Source organism: Homo sapiens, chromosome 10 (genome assembly GCF_000001405.40).
Source record: "Homo sapiens chromosome 10, GRCh38.p14 Primary Assembly".
Lineage (NCBI taxonomy): Eukaryota > Metazoa > Chordata > Mammalia > Primates > Hominidae > Homo > Homo sapiens.
In genome coordinates this window covers 21,270,155-21,288,876 of record NC_000010.11, presented here as the reverse complement: position 1 = coordinate 21,288,876, position 18,722 = coordinate 21,270,155, and the positions used below count along the sequence as shown (strand labels likewise).

At 44.6% G+C, this 18,722-nt stretch overlaps 1 protein-coding gene across 2 annotated transcripts in view, besides 5 other annotated features; it reads left to right on the top strand.

Moving 5' to 3' along the window:
* NEBL (nebulette) overlaps nucleotides 1–18,722 on the top strand; it is a 513,078-nt gene that overhangs the window by 4,174 nt on the left and 490,182 nt on the right. The gene's annotated exons all lie outside the window — the stretch shown is intronic.
* Nucleotides 1,078–1,837: an enhancer, noted in NCBI's record as "H3K27ac-H3K4me1 hESC enhancer chr10:21575969-21576728 (GRCh37/hg19 assembly coordinates)". NCBI's record gives its function as "activates a minimal SCP1, AML or CMV promoter by ChIP-STARR-seq in primed H9 embryonic stem cells {active_cell/tissue: H9 hESC(primed)}" and the evidence as "EXISTENCE:reporter gene assay evidence [ECO:0000049][PMID:30033119]".
* Nucleotides 2,598–3,357: an enhancer, noted in NCBI's record as "OCT4-NANOG-H3K27ac-H3K4me1 hESC enhancer chr10:21574449-21575208 (GRCh37/hg19 assembly coordinates)". NCBI's record gives its function as "activates a minimal SCP1, AML or CMV promoter by ChIP-STARR-seq in primed H9 embryonic stem cells {active_cell/tissue: H9 hESC(primed)}" and the evidence as "EXISTENCE:reporter gene assay evidence [ECO:0000049][PMID:30033119]".
* Nucleotides 5,703–6,379: an enhancer, noted in NCBI's record as "NANOG-H3K27ac hESC enhancer chr10:21571427-21572103 (GRCh37/hg19 assembly coordinates)". NCBI's record gives its function as "activates a minimal SCP1, AML or CMV promoter by ChIP-STARR-seq in primed H9 embryonic stem cells {active_cell/tissue: H9 hESC(primed)}" and the evidence as "EXISTENCE:reporter gene assay evidence [ECO:0000049][PMID:30033119]".
* Nucleotides 6,380–7,058: an enhancer, noted in NCBI's record as "OCT4-NANOG-H3K27ac-H3K4me1 hESC enhancer chr10:21570748-21571426 (GRCh37/hg19 assembly coordinates)". NCBI's record gives its function as "activates a minimal SCP1, AML or CMV promoter by ChIP-STARR-seq in primed H9 embryonic stem cells {active_cell/tissue: H9 hESC(primed)}" and the evidence as "EXISTENCE:reporter gene assay evidence [ECO:0000049][PMID:30033119]".
* Nucleotides 9,885–10,004: an enhancer, noted in NCBI's record as "active region_3120". NCBI's record gives its function as "activates an Ori minimal core promoter by ATAC-STARR-seq in GM12878 lymphoblastoid cells {active_cell/tissue: GM12878}" and the evidence as "EXISTENCE:reporter gene assay evidence [ECO:0000049][PMID:35858748]".

Here is an 18,722-nt window from a genome sequence, read left to right as displayed (position 1 = left end):
ACTCCGTCTCAAAAAAAAAAAATTTTTATATATATATATATATATATATATATATACACACACACACGTATATATTGTCAGATGGTAATAATTTTCTTTTTCTTTTTTTTTTTTTTGGCGATGGAGTCTCGCTCTGTCGCCCAGGCTAGAGTGCAGTGGAATGAGTTCGGCTCACTGCAACCTCTGCCTCCTGGGTTTGAGCAATTCTCTGCCTCAGCCTCGAAAGTAGCTGGGATTACAGGTGTCTGCCAGCAGGCCCGGCTAATTTTTGTATTTTTAGTAGAGACGGGGTTTCACCATTTTGGCCAGGCTGGTCCTGAACTCCTGACTTCGTGATCCACCCGCCTTAGCCTTCCAAAGTGCTGGGATTACAGGCATGAGCCACCGCGTCGGGCTTTTTCTCTTTTTTGAGACACAGGCTTACTGTGTCACCCAAGCTGGAGTGCAGTGGCACGATCTTGGCTCACTGCAAACTCTGACTCCTGGGTTCAAGTGATTCTCCTGCCTCAGCCTCCCAAGTAGCTGGGACTACAGATGCCTGGCACCATGCCTGGCTAATTTTCATAGTTTTAGTAGAGACAGGGTTTCATTATGTTGGCCAGGCTGGTCTCGAACTCCTGACCTAGTGATCCGCCCGCCTTGGCCTCCCAAAGTGCTGGGATTACAGGTGTTAGCCACCATGCCCGGCTGGCAGCAATGATTTTCATGTCTTGTTATTACTTCACTCCTTTGATTACTGGTGTCATAATGATTACCATTTGTTTAATGGTTTCTAGGTACCAGGTACTTGGCTAAGCACTTTATATGCATTATCTCTTAATTCTCACAATCCTATGGGGATACATTGCATTATTCATTGCTTTTCAGAAGAGAAAATTGAGACAGATTAATAGCTTGCCTGGAATAACTCACATAGTATATGGATATGAACATATGCTCTGCCTATTTTTTTTCAGAGATGGTTTCATAATTTTTATTTTCTTACAGTTTTTTGCACTGGGATCCAAATAAGGTCTATACATTGCAGTTGGTTGACAGCTGTACCCTTTTTCCATCTCTTCTATTTTCTTTGCAATTTTTTTGTTGTTGTTGAGAGAATGTCGTTATTTGTCTTCTAGATTTATTTTCAGTCTTGATTTTGCCAATTCAGTATGTACTAACATTTAACATTTCTTCTATCTCCTGTATTTCCTGTGAAGTGATATATCTGGATTATAGGGGTTTGATTAGATTTTTAATGAATACTTTCAATGGTCTCCCATTATAATTTTAATTTTACTTGCATTTCTCTTATTGTATGTAGAGTTGAACATACTTTCAACCCTTTGACTCTTTTTCTTTTCCACGGAGTCTCACTCTGTCACCCAAGCTGAAGAGCAGTGGCCGAATCTTGGTTCACTGCAACCTCCACCTCCCTGGCTTAGGCTATTCTTTTGCCTCAGCCTCCCAAGTAGCTAGGACTATAGGAACATGCCACCCTGCCTGGCTAGTTTTTGTATTTTTGGGAGAGATGGGGTTTTACCATGTTGCCCAGGCTGGTCCCAGACTCCTGACCTCAAGTGATCCACCTGCCTCGGCCTCCCAAAATTCTGGGATCACAGGCATGAACTACTGAGCCCAGCCTAACCCTCTGGCTCTTGACCAAGGCTCTTAGCTTCCACTTCTTTTATGGGAGTTCTCATGACTTCCTGGATTCTTTCCCTTGACCTGCCACTGCTGACCTCCTGGTCTTTGTGATGGATGCCGGTACTTGCTTCTCTGTTAACGGTTGCTTCTGGTTGTGGATTTTCAGCTTCTGGAACCCGTAACCAGCCTTGGTTCTTATTAGGGAATTCTGCTCAGATTCTCATTCTGATTACTTGGATCTTGACCTTTTTGAATAATCCTCTGGTCTGTACCCTCTGCCTCCCCACCACCCTTTGTTGGTCACACTTGTCGCTACTGCCATCTCCACTCTGGTGTGAACAAAGGTCAAATTGTCTGTTCCTGTATGATTTCTACAGTATTTATAGCTGTAGTCTGCTTTTTTTTTTTTTCTGAGATGGATTCTTGCTCTTTCACCCAGGCTGGAGCGCAGTGGCGCCATCTCGGCTCACTGCAACCTCCGCCTCCCAAGTTCACGTCACGCCATTCTCCTGCCTCAGCCTCCCGAGTAACTGGGACTACAGGTGCCCACCACCACGCCTGGCTAATTTTTTTGTGTTTTTTAATAGAGACAGGGTTTCACTGTGTTAGCCAGGATGGTCTCGATCTCCTGACCTTGTGATCCACCCGCCTTGGCCTCCCAAAGTGCTGGGATTACAGGCGTGAGCCATGGCGCCCTGCTATAGCTATAGTCTGAATCCAGTCTGCTAAAGGCCAAAAGCAGGGGTAGAGGCATGTCAACCTCACGGTGATACATGCAAGATAACATGTTTAGTAACAGAACATCTTTCTTAATATGGCAATTTTCTTCAGATAGGATATCAATGGAGACATAACAATGTTGGTAGCATTTCATTGGCCTGGCCGTGCCCCACAAATGGAGAATGTTAGTAATTTTCCAAGACCAGCTCTGGGCTACAAAGAATGTTATTAAATAAATCATTAAAGATAAAAAGATTCCTGAAATGGCAAGTATTTTCTGTCTCCAGTGATGAAAACCAAATATGCTGCTCCCATTGCAGACATGTATAACTTATTAGACTGTTTCAAGAACACAATAGGATGAAATCAGTGACTAAGAGAAAATAGAAAATAAAATCCATTCATTCATCCAGTCACAGATAGGCTGAGAAAGAGCCAAGGTCATAGTGAGGAAGAAAATCTGAAGGCCAAGTCTAAAGAGAGGGGGAGAACCAGAGATGGAAGAATGAGCGGTGATGTAAAAAGCCAGAAGGTCTGAGCCCCGCATGGAATGTGGCCTGAGGAATGGGTCAGGGCGAGAAGTTCAAAATTAAGACCCTGGACAGTGGATGCACTTAACTCTCACAGGGTGTGGGGTCCGGGGTGGCTGTTTACAGCATAGCAGCCAAGCATGGCATGGTGACTCAGTGGCCCCTAAATGGGATGATTCATGAGTCACAGGAGTGACTCCTTTGCTTTAGTGATTGATGCCTTACTTGATTCTTACATGATCTGAAATCTCATTGTAATAACGACTTTAGACACTTCCTGGAAGTAGAACAGCTTATCTTGAAAAATTTCAGTGAAGCCTGTGAAGCCCAAAAATTCAAGACAGGTGTCAGTTAATTTAGAAAGTTCATTTTGCCAAGGTTGAGGACATGCCCATGACACAGCCTCAGGAGGTCCTGACGACATGTCCCCAAGGTGGTTGGGGCATAGTTTAGTTTTATATATCTTAGGGAGATGTGAGACATCAATCAGTATATGTAAGAAGCACTCTGATTCGGTCTGGAAAGGTGGGACAACTTGAAGCAAAGGCAGGAAGATGGGGAAGGGCTTCCAGGTAGGCGAGAAAGGAATGGTTGCATTCTTTTGAGTTTCTGATTAGCCTTTCCAAGGGAGGCCATCAGATATGCATCTATCTCAGTCAGCAGAGGGGTGACTTCGAATAGAATAGGAGGGATGTTTGCCCTAAGCAGCTCCCAGCTTGATTTTTCCCTTTAGCTTAGTGATTTGGGGCCCCAAGATTTATTTTTCTTTCACAAGCCTTACAAGCTGCACCAATGATCTACTCGATAATGGCACACTTCTGTAACCATGAATCTGTCCTTCGAAAAACAGAAAATTAAAATAGTCCTTTCCACAATGCAAACTTAAACTTTAAACAATGTCATAGTGACTCAGTTAGGATGGTGCTTTTCTTATTTTATAGAGGTGGGATTTTGCTCTGTCACTCAGGCTAGAGTGCAGTGGTACCACGATAGCTCTGTAGCCTCAAATTCCTGGGCTCAAAGATCCTCCTGCCTCAGTCTTCCAAGTAGCTGGGATTACAGGCACAAACCACCATGCCCTGTGAATGGTGCTTTTTCATACAAAATGCACAATCAGTTCACAAAAACAGGATGTAAAAAATCATGATCTAATGTGAGATTTGTTAATTTTGATGCAAAACTCAGTAGACCAGTTGGCTTGAATATGATGGGTTTTCATGTCTTTATTAGTCCAGCTTTGAGGAAGCTGTGCAAGGGAGAGTGAGGAAGCCTCCCTAACCCCTTTAGGGCAAAACTTCTTCAGAGTAGAACCAAGTTTGGCGAGTCTCTGAGGTCTAGAGTGAAATACAATAAAATTTGCATTTATATAGCACTCCTTGTGCTCTTCCTTTATGTGTGCTATCCATATTAAATAAAAACACAATTAAGAGTTAGTTCTAAAATACCAGGTCAAATATATCAAACAAAATCAGGAATGGCAATTAGTGCTAGAATACCAGAACAAACAGATGGCTATTGAGTTTGGATTTAAGAAGAGAAATAAGATGTGCTTGCTGCATATCAATGGAGGAGTAATTCTGGAACTTGGGCTGACTTGGGCTGGGAGGGTGGGCTGCAGGAAGAGCCAAGTTGGGACGGTGATCAGGCCTAGGCATTGTAATGATTAGAAAGAACAAAAGCTCAGTGCAGCTGAAATTAGTGGACATGCACTATGTGCCAAGGAAATATCATCAGACTGAATTCTGTCTTCAAGCCACTTCATTTTCGTTTTTTTTTTTTTTTTTTTTTTTGGAGACGGAGTCTTGCTCTGTCACCCAGGCTGTAGTGCAGTGGTGCGATCTCGGCTCACTGTAACCTCTGCCTCCTGGGTTCTACAGATTCTCCTGCCTCAGCTTCCTGAGTAGCTGGGACTACAGGCGTGAGCCACCATACCTGGCTCATTTTTTTTTTTTTTTTTTTTTTTTAGTGCAGATTAGGTTTTGCTATGTTGAACCAGGCTGGTCTCGAACTCCTGACCTCAAGTGATCCACCCACCTGGGCCTCCCAAAGTGCTGGGATTACAGGCTTGAGCCACCATGCCCGACTGGCCAAGCCACTTAGAGTCCGATGGAGGACCTTCACTATTTGTTGCAGTCTAAGACCTAAAATAAACCCATGCTGCTCTACCTAAGCCCTGAAAAGAAATTCAGCTCAGGTCCCTTATCTGTTCTGAAGTCTAAGAAGCTCTGAAAACCCAAAAGATTTTCTTAAGGAGAAGCTGAAATTTTGTAGTCTTTACCTATCCCACTTGGTATGAATATTCATATGATTCACTGCAGAAATATTAATAGGTTTGATTGAGGGGTCTTATTCCAGACTCTGCTGGGTGTGTTACATGGAATATAATAGAATATATGTACTCTATAACCTTTCTAAAACCAAAAATCATCCAAATTCTGGAATACCACAGGCTCCAAAGTTATAGGGAAGGGGTCCAGATCCAGACCCCAAGAGGCGGTTCTTGGATCTCACGCAACAAATAATTCAGGGGGAGTCTGTAGAGTAAAGTGAAAGCAAGTTTATTAGGAAAGTAAAGGAATAAAAGAATGGCTACTTTGTATACAGGGCAGCCCCAAGGGCTGCTGGTTGCCCGTTTTTATGGTTATTTCTTGATGATATGCTAAACAAGCGGTGGATTATTCATGCCTCCCCTTTTTAGACCATATAGGGTAACTTCCTGTTGTTGCCATGGCATTTATTTGTAAACCGTCATGGCGCTAATGGGAATGTAGCAGTGAGGACAACCAGAGGTCACTCTTGTTGCCATTTTGGTTCTGGTGGGTTTTAGCTGGCTTCTTTACCGCAATTTTTTTTTTTTTTTTTTTTGAGACACAGTCTTGCCCTGTCGCCCAGGCTAGAGTGCAGTGGCATGATCTCTGCTCACTGCAACCTCTGCCTCCTGGGTTCAAGCTATTCTCCTGCCTCAGCCTCCCAAGTAGCTGGGCTTACAGGTGCATGCCACCATGCCTGGCTAATTTTTTAAAATTTTTTGTATTTTCAGTAGAGAAGGGGTTTCACCATGTTGGCCAGGCTGGTCTCGAACTCTTAACCTCAGGTGATCTGCCTGCCTCGGCCTCCCAAAGTGCTGGGATTACAGGCGTGAGCCACTGCGCCCTGCCTATTGCAACCTTTTTTTAATCAGCAATATCTTTATGACCTGTATCTTGTGGTGACCCTTTATGTCATCCTGTGACTTAGAATGCCTTAACTGTCTGGGAATGCAGCCCAGTAGGTCTCAGCCTCATTTTACCCAGCTCCTATTCAACATGGAGTTGCTCAGAGGTTCACACGCCTCTGACAATATGACCTGTTGTAAAATGGTCTTTCTTCAGCCTCTAGTTCCTCACTGCACAGTCCCTATTAATTCAATATATGGCTTTGTTCCTCAGGCTCCAGCTGAACTTTCTGTCATCAATGCTTCTTTTTGCTTCTTCTTCTTTTTTTTCCCCCCTGCCTTTGGCCTTAACTTCTTGATCTGGTGGCAAAGGTATGACTTCGTCCTTCCTGGGAGCTCTTTCCTTGGCATCATTCCCTGACACTATGGTAGCCGTCCCTCCCTTTTGCCTCTGTGACCAAAGCTTGGTTTTGTTTGTTTGCACCTTTCCTTAGGTTTGTGCTCCCTACGGAGCCTCTTGCATTGTAGGTACTAATAAATATTTGTAATGAAGGAATTCCCCAAGGCCTGGATTGCTGCTCTCTACCCCCGCAGAGAGCTCATCCATTCACAGCAGTCACCGGCTGGGCAGAGGCTCCTAAATCTACATATTCACTTCTGACCTGTCACTGGAATTCCTCTTCCATTGTTGCAGATGTTTACTGATCTCTTTGGCTAACTGTCTTGCTAGCACCTCATTTTCAACCTCTCCCTTCAAAAGTCTCACATACGCACAAATCCCACACTTGCATCTATAGGAATGGGAAGAAATTGGTAGGCTGGAGGAATGGTTGTGGGACAGAAGGAGGGAAACTTTTAAAACAATTGCATCTTTTGTTTGTTGTACCTTCACGTGTATTACTTAAAAAGAAAGGAATTTATTTTTCAAAAGGAAAAGTTACATGACATTCTGGAAAAGGCAAAACTATGGATACAGTAAGAAGACTGTTGGTGACTAGGGGCTTGAAGGGACGGAGGGATGAGAAGGGGGAGGACAGAGGACTTTTAGGGCAGTGAAATTATCCTGTAGGTTCCTTTAAATGGGGGATGTGCATCATTATGCATTTTTCCAAATCCATAGAATGCACAACACAGACAGAACCCCCAAAGTAAACTATGGACTCCAGGTGATCGTGATATGTTAACGTAGGTTTATGTAGGTAACAAATGTCCCACACTGGTGTGGGATGTCAGGATGTGGATGGTGGGGAGGATGAATGTGTGTTTGGGGAGGGGCTGTGCGGGAACTCTGCACATTTTACCCCATTTCATGTCAACCTAAAATGGCTCTAAAAATGTCTATTAATTATAAAAAAAAAAAGAAAGAAAGAAAAGGAAAGACAAGCAGCAGAGAGTGGTGGTGTGTACCTGTAATCCCAGCGAGTTGGGAGGCTGAGGCAGGAGGATTACTTGAGGCAAGGAGTTTGAGACCAGCCTGGGCAATATAGCAAGATCCCTTCTCTCTAAAAACACACACACAAAAAACCCCAAAACCAAAAAACAAGGGCTTGCACTGGGCCAGAATGCTTGGTATTTTGTGCTGGAAGCTCACTATATTTACACTAATTAGAGTCAGTGCAGACAAACTGATTATTCATAAAAGGAGGAAGTAGTTCACTCACTCAGGCTGGATTCACTAGATCCCTGTTGACAGCTCAGGCCTCCAGGTCTGGTGAATCCCAGGCATTTTGTCTTTCCTTTGGAAGAGCATTTGTGCTTGACCTCTGCCATGACTCTGTGGGTTGGGCCTCCTTTAGCTCATCCCTGGAATACTCTAACAGTCTTCTAAATATTTGAACATATCTGCCTATTTCTCTACCATCCTATACAATATCATCAGATTAAGATGCATTTCTTCCTGTTACTTCTCACCTTAAAAAATCTACAATGCTTGGCTGGGTGAGGTGGCTCACGCCTGTAATCACAGCACTTTGGGAAGACGATGTGGGCAGATCACCTGAGGTCAGGAGTTTGAGACCAGCCTGGCCAACATGGTGAGACCCTGTCTCTACTAAAAATACAACAATTAGCCATGCGCGATGGTGTGTGCCTGTAATCCCACCTACTCGGGAGGCTGAGGCAGGAGAATCGCTTGAACCTGGGAGGTGGAGGTTACAGTGAGCAGTGAGCTAGGATTGCACCACTGCACTCCAGCCTGGGCAATAGGCAAAAAAAAAAAAAAAAAAAAGGAAAAAGAAAAACCAAAAATACCTACAATGCCCCTTACATGAAGTCTTGGCTCTTTCTTGACTCTGGGGGACCCCTGTTCACCATCCACACCTCCTAGGCCACTGTCTTTTTCAGTCACCCCCAATACAACCTCCCACCTTCCTATCTGCCTTTTGTATCTCTCTGGGCTGGCATGCCTAGAATCTTTCTCCCCATTCATTGCTCTTTGCCCGAAATCCAACTCCTAAAGGGACTTACAATTCTTTTGTTCTACTGCCTAGGGCAGTGGTATAAACTCATACATTTAACAGCTTGATTTTTTTTGGTTGGGTATGTATGGGAGCATATGGGTGATCCATTTCACATGTAGAAATGAGAATTGCACCCCTGGAAGAGATGGTCATGTGACTTCGGCCCATGTGTTCTGGAACCCATGCTGGTTCCATTTTGCTATAGGGGCATCACGGGGATTTATGCTTGGACTGGAACGAACCGTGGAAAGACCCCAGGTGACCCTAATCTGCAAGATCCACTTGGGTTCTAGGCAGCCTCAATCAGAAGATTATTTCAAAACTGGCTTTTTTTTAGGGTCTTTAGGGGACTTTTTGGCTTCTCTTAAGCGGCAGAGAAGCTTTAGAGTTTGGGCAATAAAGTATAAAATTAACCTCTGGGTTTTGGTCCATTTCTGTTTCTAAGAAGTAGATCTGATACTTCCCTTGTCAGCTTTTATAACTCTTGCAAAGCTCAAGAGAGACAAGAATACCAATGAATCATATGAACCAGGTGGCAGCAAATGATGGCCCGTGGGACACATTTAGCCTGCTGCTTGTTTTTGTACAGCCCACAAACTAAGAATGGTTTTTACTTTTTTTTTTTTTTTTTATATGGATTCTGGCTCTGTCACCCAGACTGGAGTGCAATGATGCGATCTTGGCTCACTGCAGCCTCTGCCTCCCAGGTTCAAGTGATTCTCATGTCTCAGCCTCCTGAGTAGCTGGGATTACAGGTGCCTGCCACCATGCCCAGCTAATTTTTTGTATTTTTAGGTTTTGCCATGTTGGCCAGGCTGGTCTCGAACTCATGACCTCCAGTGATCCGCCCTTCTTGGCCTCCCAAACTGCTGAGATTACAGGCATGAACCACTGTGCCTGGCCTATATTTTTAAAGTGTTGAAACAAAAAATAGGCCAGGCATGGTGGCCTGTAATCCCAGTGCTTTAGTAGGCTGAGGCGGGAGGATTGCTTGAGGCCAGAAGTTAGAGGTTACAGTGAGCTACTCATGCCACTGCACTCCACCCTAGGCAACAGAGGGAGCAGAGGGAGACTGTCTAAAAAAAAAAAAAAAAAAAATTGAAAAAATAAAAAGATGGCTATTTTTGTGACATGTGAACATTATATGAAATTCAAATCTTGGCATCCATAAATAAAGTTTTATTGGAATGCAGCCAGGCTGGTTGGTTTACTTACTGCCTATAGCTGCTTTTGTTCTTCCATGTCAGAGTTGAGGCTATGCAACAGAGACGGTATGATGTGTAGAGCCTAAATAGTAAATATCCAGCCCACACAGAGAAATTCTGCCCGCCTCTGTAAGGCACAGTACACACATAAGACATGCTTGTTGTAGCTGTGATCTTTCTTCATGGCGCTGGGGCTATGAACTATCTAATTGCTAAGATTCTGGAGGTGCAGGGCCTCAGGGAGGTGCCATGCACATACAATACAAGGGGTATAGCGCCCCCTGGAGGCAACGTTGGATTTGAAGCAGCCAGTGTGGTGGACAGGCCTTGCGGGGAGTGAGGAGGCCTGATTCTAACCTTGGCCCTGCAGAGAACTCCCTGGCTATGTAACTCAGGGGCAGATCTCACCGAACTTCTCTGGGCCTCAAATCCACATCTGTAAAAGGAAGGGGTTGTACTCTCAATGGTTCTAAAACTCCTTCTCTTCCTCTGTCCCTTCCTTTCTGCATTCTTCTTGGCAGAATCCTTTCCTCAAATCAGTGCTCCGATAGACCCCTAATACAGTAAACAGCTGAAGGTGGAGAGTCTCTGTTGGAAGTGGGTCTTGGCCTAAGCCTCCCTCATTGACCCATGATGACTGCACAGAAGAGATTTCCAAACTCCTCCCAGCCCTAGCAGTTATGGGTCCAGGGCCTCATCACTGAGAACAGCCCCACACCAGTTTACTTTTCATTTTTTAGAGTGAGGGTTTTACTCTGTCACCTAGCCTGGAGTGCAGTGGTGCCATCATAGCTCACTGAAGCCTCGACGTCCTGGGCTCAAGTGATCCTCCTGCCTCAGCCTCCTGAGTAGCTGGGATGATAGGTGCACGCCACCACACCTAGCTCATGTTTTTATTTTTATTCTGTAGAGACGGCGTCTTGCTGTGTGGCCAGGCTGGTCTTGAACTCCTGGGCTCAAGCAATTCTCCCGCCTCAGGCTCCCGAGTAGCTGGGACTGCATGTGTGCACCACCATGCCCGGCTCAAATCAGATCTTTGCATGCATGCTTTGAGGCCACATATTCTGGTTCAGTCAACCAGAATGTTCTGTGGTGCTGGCGTTTCCCAATCATCCCTCACATGTTGTTAGTAGTAATAGTAGCAGCTAAAATTTACTGAGCACTTACTGCTTTCCAGATAACTAGGCGAAGCCTCAAGGGGTCTTTTGTCATTGAATATAGACAACAGCTCAATGAAGTAGGTGCTATAATTACTCCCAGTTTACAAACAAGAAGAGGTAGGAGGACTACTTGAGCCCAAGAGTTGGAGGCCAGCCTGCCTAACACCTGCAAGACACCTTGTCTCTTAAAAAAGAAAGAAAGAAAGAAAAAAATGACTTTCATAAAACCAATGGACAAGGTGTTAAAAACAGTCCTGGAAGACTATGTTAACATGGAAAGGCCCAAAGCATTGTGTCAGAAGAATCATTACCTGGGACTGAAATAGAATGCAAGAGGCAGGGAATGACAATTGGTCACAGTAACAGAAGATAATGATTTCTGAGCACTGGGTAGCACCAATGACTAACTGTATGTTCTGTCCCATGCACCCACACAGCAATACATGTTATTGATCCTATCACTATTTCCATTTGACCAATGTGGAAACTGAAGCCTAGAAAGGTTAAGTTTTGGGCCAGGCACAGTGGCTTATGCCTGTAATCCCAGCACTTTGAGAGGCAAAAGTGGGTGGATCACTTGAGGTCAGGAGTTCGAGACCAGCCTGGCCAACATGGGGGAAACCCAGTTTCTACTAAAAATACAAAATTTAGCCAGGAGTGGTGGTGGGCACTCGTAATCCCAGCTACTTGGAAAGCTGAGGCAGGAGAATCGCTTGAACCTAGGAGGTGGAGTTTGCAGTGAGCTGAGATTGTGCCACTGCACTCCAGCCTGGGCGACAGAGCGAGACTCCGTCTCAAAAAAAAAAAAAAAAAAGAAAGAAATATTTGGTGCATTGGCTCCAGACTATATACCTGCAGGCATGAGCAATCGTGTTTTTTTTTGTTTTTGTTTTTGAGACAGGGTCTTCTTCTGTGACTCAGGCTGGAGTACAGTAGTGTCATCATGACTCACTGCAGCCTTGACCTCCTGGGCTCAAGTGAACCTTCTACCTCAGCCTCCCAAGTAGCTGGAACTACAAGTGTGCACCACTATACCTGGCTAATTTTTTTTTTTTTGAGACAGTCTCACTCTATCACCCAGGCTGGAGTACACTGGCATGATCTTGGCTCACTGCAACCTCCGCCTCTCAGGTTCACGTGATTCTCATGCCTCAGCTTCACAAGTAGCTGGGATTACCAGCGCCTGCCATCACTGTTGGCTAATTTTTATATTTTTAGTAGAGATGGGGTTTCCCCATGTTGGCCGGGCTGGTCTCGAACTCTTGGCCTCAAGTGATCTGCCTGCTTTGGCCTCCCAAAGCTCTAGGGTTACAGACATGAGTCATCACTCCTGGCCTCTGGCTAATTTTTGTATATTTTTGTAGAGATGGGGTTTTGACATATTGCTCAGGCTGGTCTCAAACTTCTGAACTCAAGAGATCCATCCACCTCGGCCTCCCAAAGGCTGGGATTATAGGCATGAGCCATCATACTCGAGTGGCAATCAGTTTTGACCAACAAACTACCATATTCTACTTGTGGCTCAGTTTTGGTGAGAAGAGGCTTCTGTGAGGAAGGGGTAGAAGATTATAGGAAGTGTGGGTCTCAAGGCAAGGAACTTGAAAAGCCACACCAGGGCTACACTAGGGGTTGGTGGGTGGAGGGTTGTGGTGGGATGAAGCCCAAGGTGTGGGTTAACCTCACAACAGCAGAGCCTGGACATGTAGAAGAAAAATTCTAGGTTTTTATAAGCACAGAAAGGTGGTAAGTTGGGCTGGGCGTGGTGGCTCACGCCTGTAATCCCAGCTCTTTGGGAGGCTATGGTGGGCAGATCACTAGAGGTCAGGAGTTTGAGACCAGCCTGCCCAACATGGTGGAACGCTGTCTCCACTAAAAATACAAAAAATTAGCCAGGCATGGTTGTGCACACCTGTAGTTTCATCTACTCAGGAGGCTGAGGCATGACAATCGCTTGAACCTAGGAGGCGGAGGTCAGAATGAGTTGAGATCACACCACTGCACTTCAGTCTGGGCAACAGAGTGAGGCTCTGTCTTTAAAAAAAAAAAAAAAAAAAGAAAGGGCTGGCTGTGGTGGCTCACTCCTGTAATCCCAATCCCAGCACTTTGGGAGGCTGAGGCAGGCAGATCGCCTGAGGTCGGGAATTCAAGACCAGCCTGACCAATATGGAGAAACCCCGTCTCTACTAAAAATACAAAAAAAAAAAAAAAAAAAAAATTAGCTGGGTGTGGTGGCACTTGCCTGTAATCCCAGCTACTCGGGAGGCCGAGGCAGGAGAATTGCTTGAACCCAGGAGGCAGAGGTTGCGGTGAGCCAAGATTCCGTCATTGCACTCCAGCCTTGGCAACAAGAGCAAAACTCTGTCTCAAAAAAAAAAAAAAAAAAAAGCTGGTAATGTGATGAGTCTATGTTAGTTCAGGTTTTACAAAAGCAAACAAGACACATGGGTGCAAGTAGGTTTTGCAGAGGTGATCTCAGGAAATATTAGGAGGAGTGAGGACACGAAAAACAGAGAGGAGGAAAACCTGCAAAGTGGGTTTCGTGAGTGGGCACTCTGCACCACTCGGGCTCAGTGAGAGGAACTCTCGGAGACCCCTATTTTGGAGTCATCCCACTTAAGGTCTGGAAGCTGGGGAAACTTGTCCAAATCTAGTGATTGAAGGTTGCTCTGGTAATGTTTTCTGCTGGGGTCAAGCCTGAGACAGAAAACGCCCATAGGAAGAGAGATGCAGAAAGCCAGTGTATTTATTAAAAGCTTAAAATGGCTTAAAACAGCACACATTCATTAGCTTATAGTTTCTGGGAGTCAGGACCTGGGCATGATTTAGTTGAGAGATGCTCTGCTCCAGGGTCGCTCATGAGGCCGCGATAAAGCTGTTGAGCAGGGTGGGGTGGGCATCTCATCTGAAGGCTCAGCTGGGGAAGAATCCACCTCTAAATTCACTTGCATGGTGGTGGGCAGAATTTACAGTTAGCCCTTGAACAACACAGGCGTGAACTTCATGGGTCCACTTACACATGGACTTTCTTCCTCCTCTGCCTTCCCTGAGACAGCAAAACCAACCCCTCCTCCTCTTCCTTCTCCTCAGCCTACTCAATGTGAAGATGATGAGGATGAAGACCTTTATGATGATCCACTTCCACTCAATGAATAGTCAATATATTTTCTTTTTAAATTTTATTTTAAAATAATTAATATTAATAATTTAAATTAAAAAAAGCAAATATTTTTTCCTTATGATTCTTAAATAACATTTTTCTTTTCTCTAGCATACTGTATTGTAAGAATATAGTGTATAGGCTGGGTGTGGTGGCTCAAACTTGTAATCCCAGCACTTTGGGAGGCCAAGTCGGGTGGAACACTTGAGGCCAGGGGTTCGAGACCAGGCTGGCCAACATGATGAAACCCTGTCTCTACTAAAAATGCAAAAATTAGCCAGGAGTGGAGGTGCATTCATGTAATCCCAGCTACTCGGGAGGCTGAGGCACGAGAATTGTTTGAGCCTGGGAAGTGGAGGTTGCAGTGAGCTGAGATCATGCCATTGCACTCCAGCCTGGGCAACAGAGGGAAATTGTGTCTCAAAAATAGATAAATAATACTAACTAACTAAATAAAACGCAGTGTATAATGCATAGAACATAGGAAATATGTGTTAATCGACTATGTGATTGGTAAGGCTTCTTGTCAACAGCAGGACATTAGTAGTTAAGCTTTTGGGAAGTCAAAAGTTATACATGGATTTTTCTGACTCTGTCTGGGGCCATCACCCATAACTCCTGCATTGTTTAAGGGTCCACTGTATTTCCTGCAAGGATGTTGGACTGAGAACCTGGGCTCCTTCTTGGCTGTTGGCTGGATTTTGCCCTCACTTTCTTGTTACTGGGCCTCTCTAAACCGGCACCTTGCTTTCAAAGCAAGAAAATCTTCTCACAAAATGGTAGTTAGAATGTTTTATAACCTACTCATGGAAGTAACATCCCCTCAGCATTGCCATATTCTATTGGTCAGATGCAAGTTACTCAAGGAGATCACAAGGGCCATGAACATTGAAAGATGGGTCTCCTTGGAGCCATCTTAGAGGCTGCCTGGCAGAGCTAGCGTGGGCAGAGGGAATGTGAGCAGGACTTACAGCATCTGCTGCAGGGGTAAGCAAATTCTGGTGAAGGAGAAGGGGTGTTGGTAAGGAAAGGTCAAGGGTAAATTATCTGTGTATAGAGATAAGCTGAGAACCCTGGGAGCCTTTGGTCCCAGACAGTGAGATCCACCCCTCAGCTGGGCAGAGCACTTAGCAACTCCCTGGTTCCTGGGTCTGAGCCCCTGAGGGCAGGACTAGAAGCTGCATCTTAAGGGATGTGCTGCTCTCTGCCAGGCGGTCTTTCTTGTGTTTCCCTGGAGAATCCTCATGGCTGGTCCACAGAGCAACACTTGGCAGAGGCTGTAGGGTGTAGATAGGGAGGGACTGTCCACTTCCTCAGTGTCAACTGAACTGGAAACCACAGCCTCACAAATTGGATCTCAGCCCAAAGGCTGGTCAGTTCTACCAGCCCTGTGATGCTTAGCCCCTCTGTCTAGCTTCAGTGGGAGGAAGTCCCCTAGACTTGGAATACCCTCTGTCCCGCTCCCTCCAGGACTATTAGGAAATTTATTCTTATACAGAAATGAAATCTATTTCCCTGAAGCTCAATTCCCTCTTTCTCTTGGAGACCAGCTCTCCAAGGGAGAAATCTGCTGCTTGGGATCCTTCCTCCTGTTGAAATTTTACAGGTTGGTGCTCAAAGGTATAAATAGTGTCTTAGATGTGGTTGGTTTAGAGCAGATATGAGAGGGGCGAGAGGGAACTCTCACCTCCCCACAAACTGCCCTTCTATTAACCTCCTCCGAGGGCCCACAAGCTCCCAACCCTGTGGCTGTCCAATTTCATCATGTGGAACCTCCAATCAAGTAGATGACTCCAGTTGTCTTTGGTGAGCAGCTGCCAAGTCACATTTCCTCTTTCCTGTACCTAGATTTTTGTTTGTTTGTTTTGGTTGGGGCGGGGTGGCAGAGTAAGAAGGAGCCTTGTCTATTCTGTACATCCAAGAAGAGAGATGGCCAGCATGATCCTGGCTTCAAGGGACAATTTATCTTGCCATTTTATGGCACAATGACCATGATGGACATAATATCAATAAAGCAAAAAATGCACGCTCAACTGTCCAGGGAGGAGGAAGATAAAGGACAGTAAGAGCAACTAATAATGATTCACAGTTGACACTCCTCTTTCACTCCAATGATCTCATTGATTTTTTAAGATAATGCTGCAAGAGAGCTATTAATATACTCAATTTACAGATGCAAAAAGCAACTTGTAGATATTGCTCAAATGCCACACAGCTATCAAACGGAGGATCTGGAGCAAGAACCCCTGGTGTTTTGTTATTTATGTATTTATTTATTTGACATGGTCTTGCTCTGCTGCCCAGGCTGGAGTGCAGTGGTGTGATCATAGCTCACTGTAACCTCAAACTTCTGGCCTCAGTTGATCCTCTTACCTCAGCCTCGTGAGTAGCTGAGACTACAGATGTGCACCATCATGCCTGGCTAATTCAAAAATTTTTGGTTTTGTATAGACAGGATCTTGCTATTTTGCCCAGGCTGGTATTAAACTTCTGGCCTCAAGCGATCCTCCATCTTGGCCTCCCAAAGTGCTGAGATTAAAGGTGTGAGCCACTACAGCAGGTGTATTTGTTTATTTTTGACACGTAAAAATTTTTTATATTTGCCGGGTGCGGTGGCTTACGCCTGTAATTCCAGCACTTTGGGAGGCCGAGGTGGGTGGATAACGAGGTCAGGAGATCGAGACCATCCTGGCTAACATGGTGAAACCCCGTCTCTACTAAAAAAAAAAAAAAAAAAAAAAAAAAAATTAACCAAGTGTGGTGGCGGGTGCCTGTAGACCCAGCTACTCAGGAGGCTGAAGAATGGTGTGAACCTGGGAGGCGGAACTTGCAGTGAGCTGAGATTACACCACTGCACTCCAGCCTGGGTGACAGAGTGAGACTCCATCTCAAAAAAAAAATTGTTTCTATTTAAGATGTACAATGTGATGTTTTGATATATGTATATGCACTATGAAGTGATTACCACAATTAACATATCCATCACTTCATATAGTTACTATTCTTTTGTGTGTGGTGGGAACATTTAAGATCTATTCTCGGCAGGGCGCAGTGGCTCACGCCTGTAATCCTAGCACTTTGGGAGGCTGACGCGGGTGGATCACTTGAGGCGAGGAGCTCAAGACCAGCCTGGCTATCATGGTGAAACCCCGTCTCTACTAAAAATACAAAAATCAGCCAGGCGTGGTGGCGGGTGCCCATTGTCCCAGCTGCTCAGGAGGTTGAGGCAGGAGAATCGCTTGAACCTGGGAGGTGGAGGTTGCAGTGAGCCGAGATCGTAATATTGCATTCCAGCCTGGATGACAAAGTGGAACTCCATCTAGAAAAAAAAAAAAAAAAGATCTGTTTACTATTCTCTTAGTAGTTTCAAGTATACAAACATTATTATCGACTATAGCTACCACGTTGTACATGAAACCCGGAATATGTTAATCTTGTAACTAAAATTTTGTAACCTTTCACCAACATCTTTATTTCGTCTGCCCTCCAGCCGCTAGCAACCACCTCTCTACTCTCTACTTCCAGGAGTTCAACTTCTTGAGAACCTGTTTAGGAGTCGAAGTTTTAGAGTTTGTTTAGAAGTTTACGTGAGATCATGCAGTATTTGTCTCTCTGTGTCTAGCTTATTTCACTTAGCATAACATCCTCTAGGTTCATTCATGTTGTTGCAAATGGCAGGATTTCCTTATTTTTTAAGGCTGTATAATATTCCATTGTATATATGCCACATTTTCTTGATCTAGTCATTGGTCTATGGACTTCTATGTTGTTTCCATATCTTGGTTATTGTGAATAATGCTTCAGTGAACACAAGAGTGGAGATATAAATTCCTTTGGATATATACCTAGAAGTGAGATTGCTGGATGATATGGTAATTCTATTTTCAGTCTTTTGAGGAACTGACATACTGTTTTCCATAATGGCTGTACCAATTTACAGTCTCACCAACAGAGATGAGGAGATCCCTGGGATTTTGTCCCCAAATTCTGTACACTTGCAGTTGCACATTCTGTTCTCTTTAATGTACATATCCATACGTTGTGTGAATTATTCGGTCCTGGACAAGTCGTTATTGAGAACCCACTAAGATAGTAGGAAGTATGAGGTATAAAAAAGAGTTGAACGACTTGTCCTCAAGGAGTTCATGACCTGCTGGGGTGAGATAAGATCTATATACCAAACAATTTAAAAATTATGGGCTGGGCGCGGTGGCTCACACCTGTAATCCCAACACTTCGGGAGGCCAAGGTGGGCAGACCACTTGAGGTCAGGATTTCGAGACCAGCCTGGCCAACATGGTGAAACCCCATCTCTACTAAAAATGCAAAAAATTAGCTGAGTGTGGTGGCGCACACCTGTAATCCCAGCTACATGGGAGGCTGAGGCAGGAGAATCACTTGAACTCAGGAGGTGGAAGTTGCAGTGAGCCAAGATCACATCATTGCACTGCAGCCTGGGTGACAGAGTGAGACTCTGTCTCAAAAAAAAAAAAAAAATATGGAAAATAGTCTCAGACTCTATCAGATTATAAGAGTTTTATGACAGTCTAGGAGGGCTATACCAATTTGGAGATGTGCAGCTTAATTGAAGATGCTTAATAGAAGAAACTTCTGTGGTTTACGATAATTTCTGAGTAATTTAGCACAATTAAGAAATTAATATTTCTCACAGAGGGATGACAGAAACTGTAGGGGAGTTGCAGTATCATTT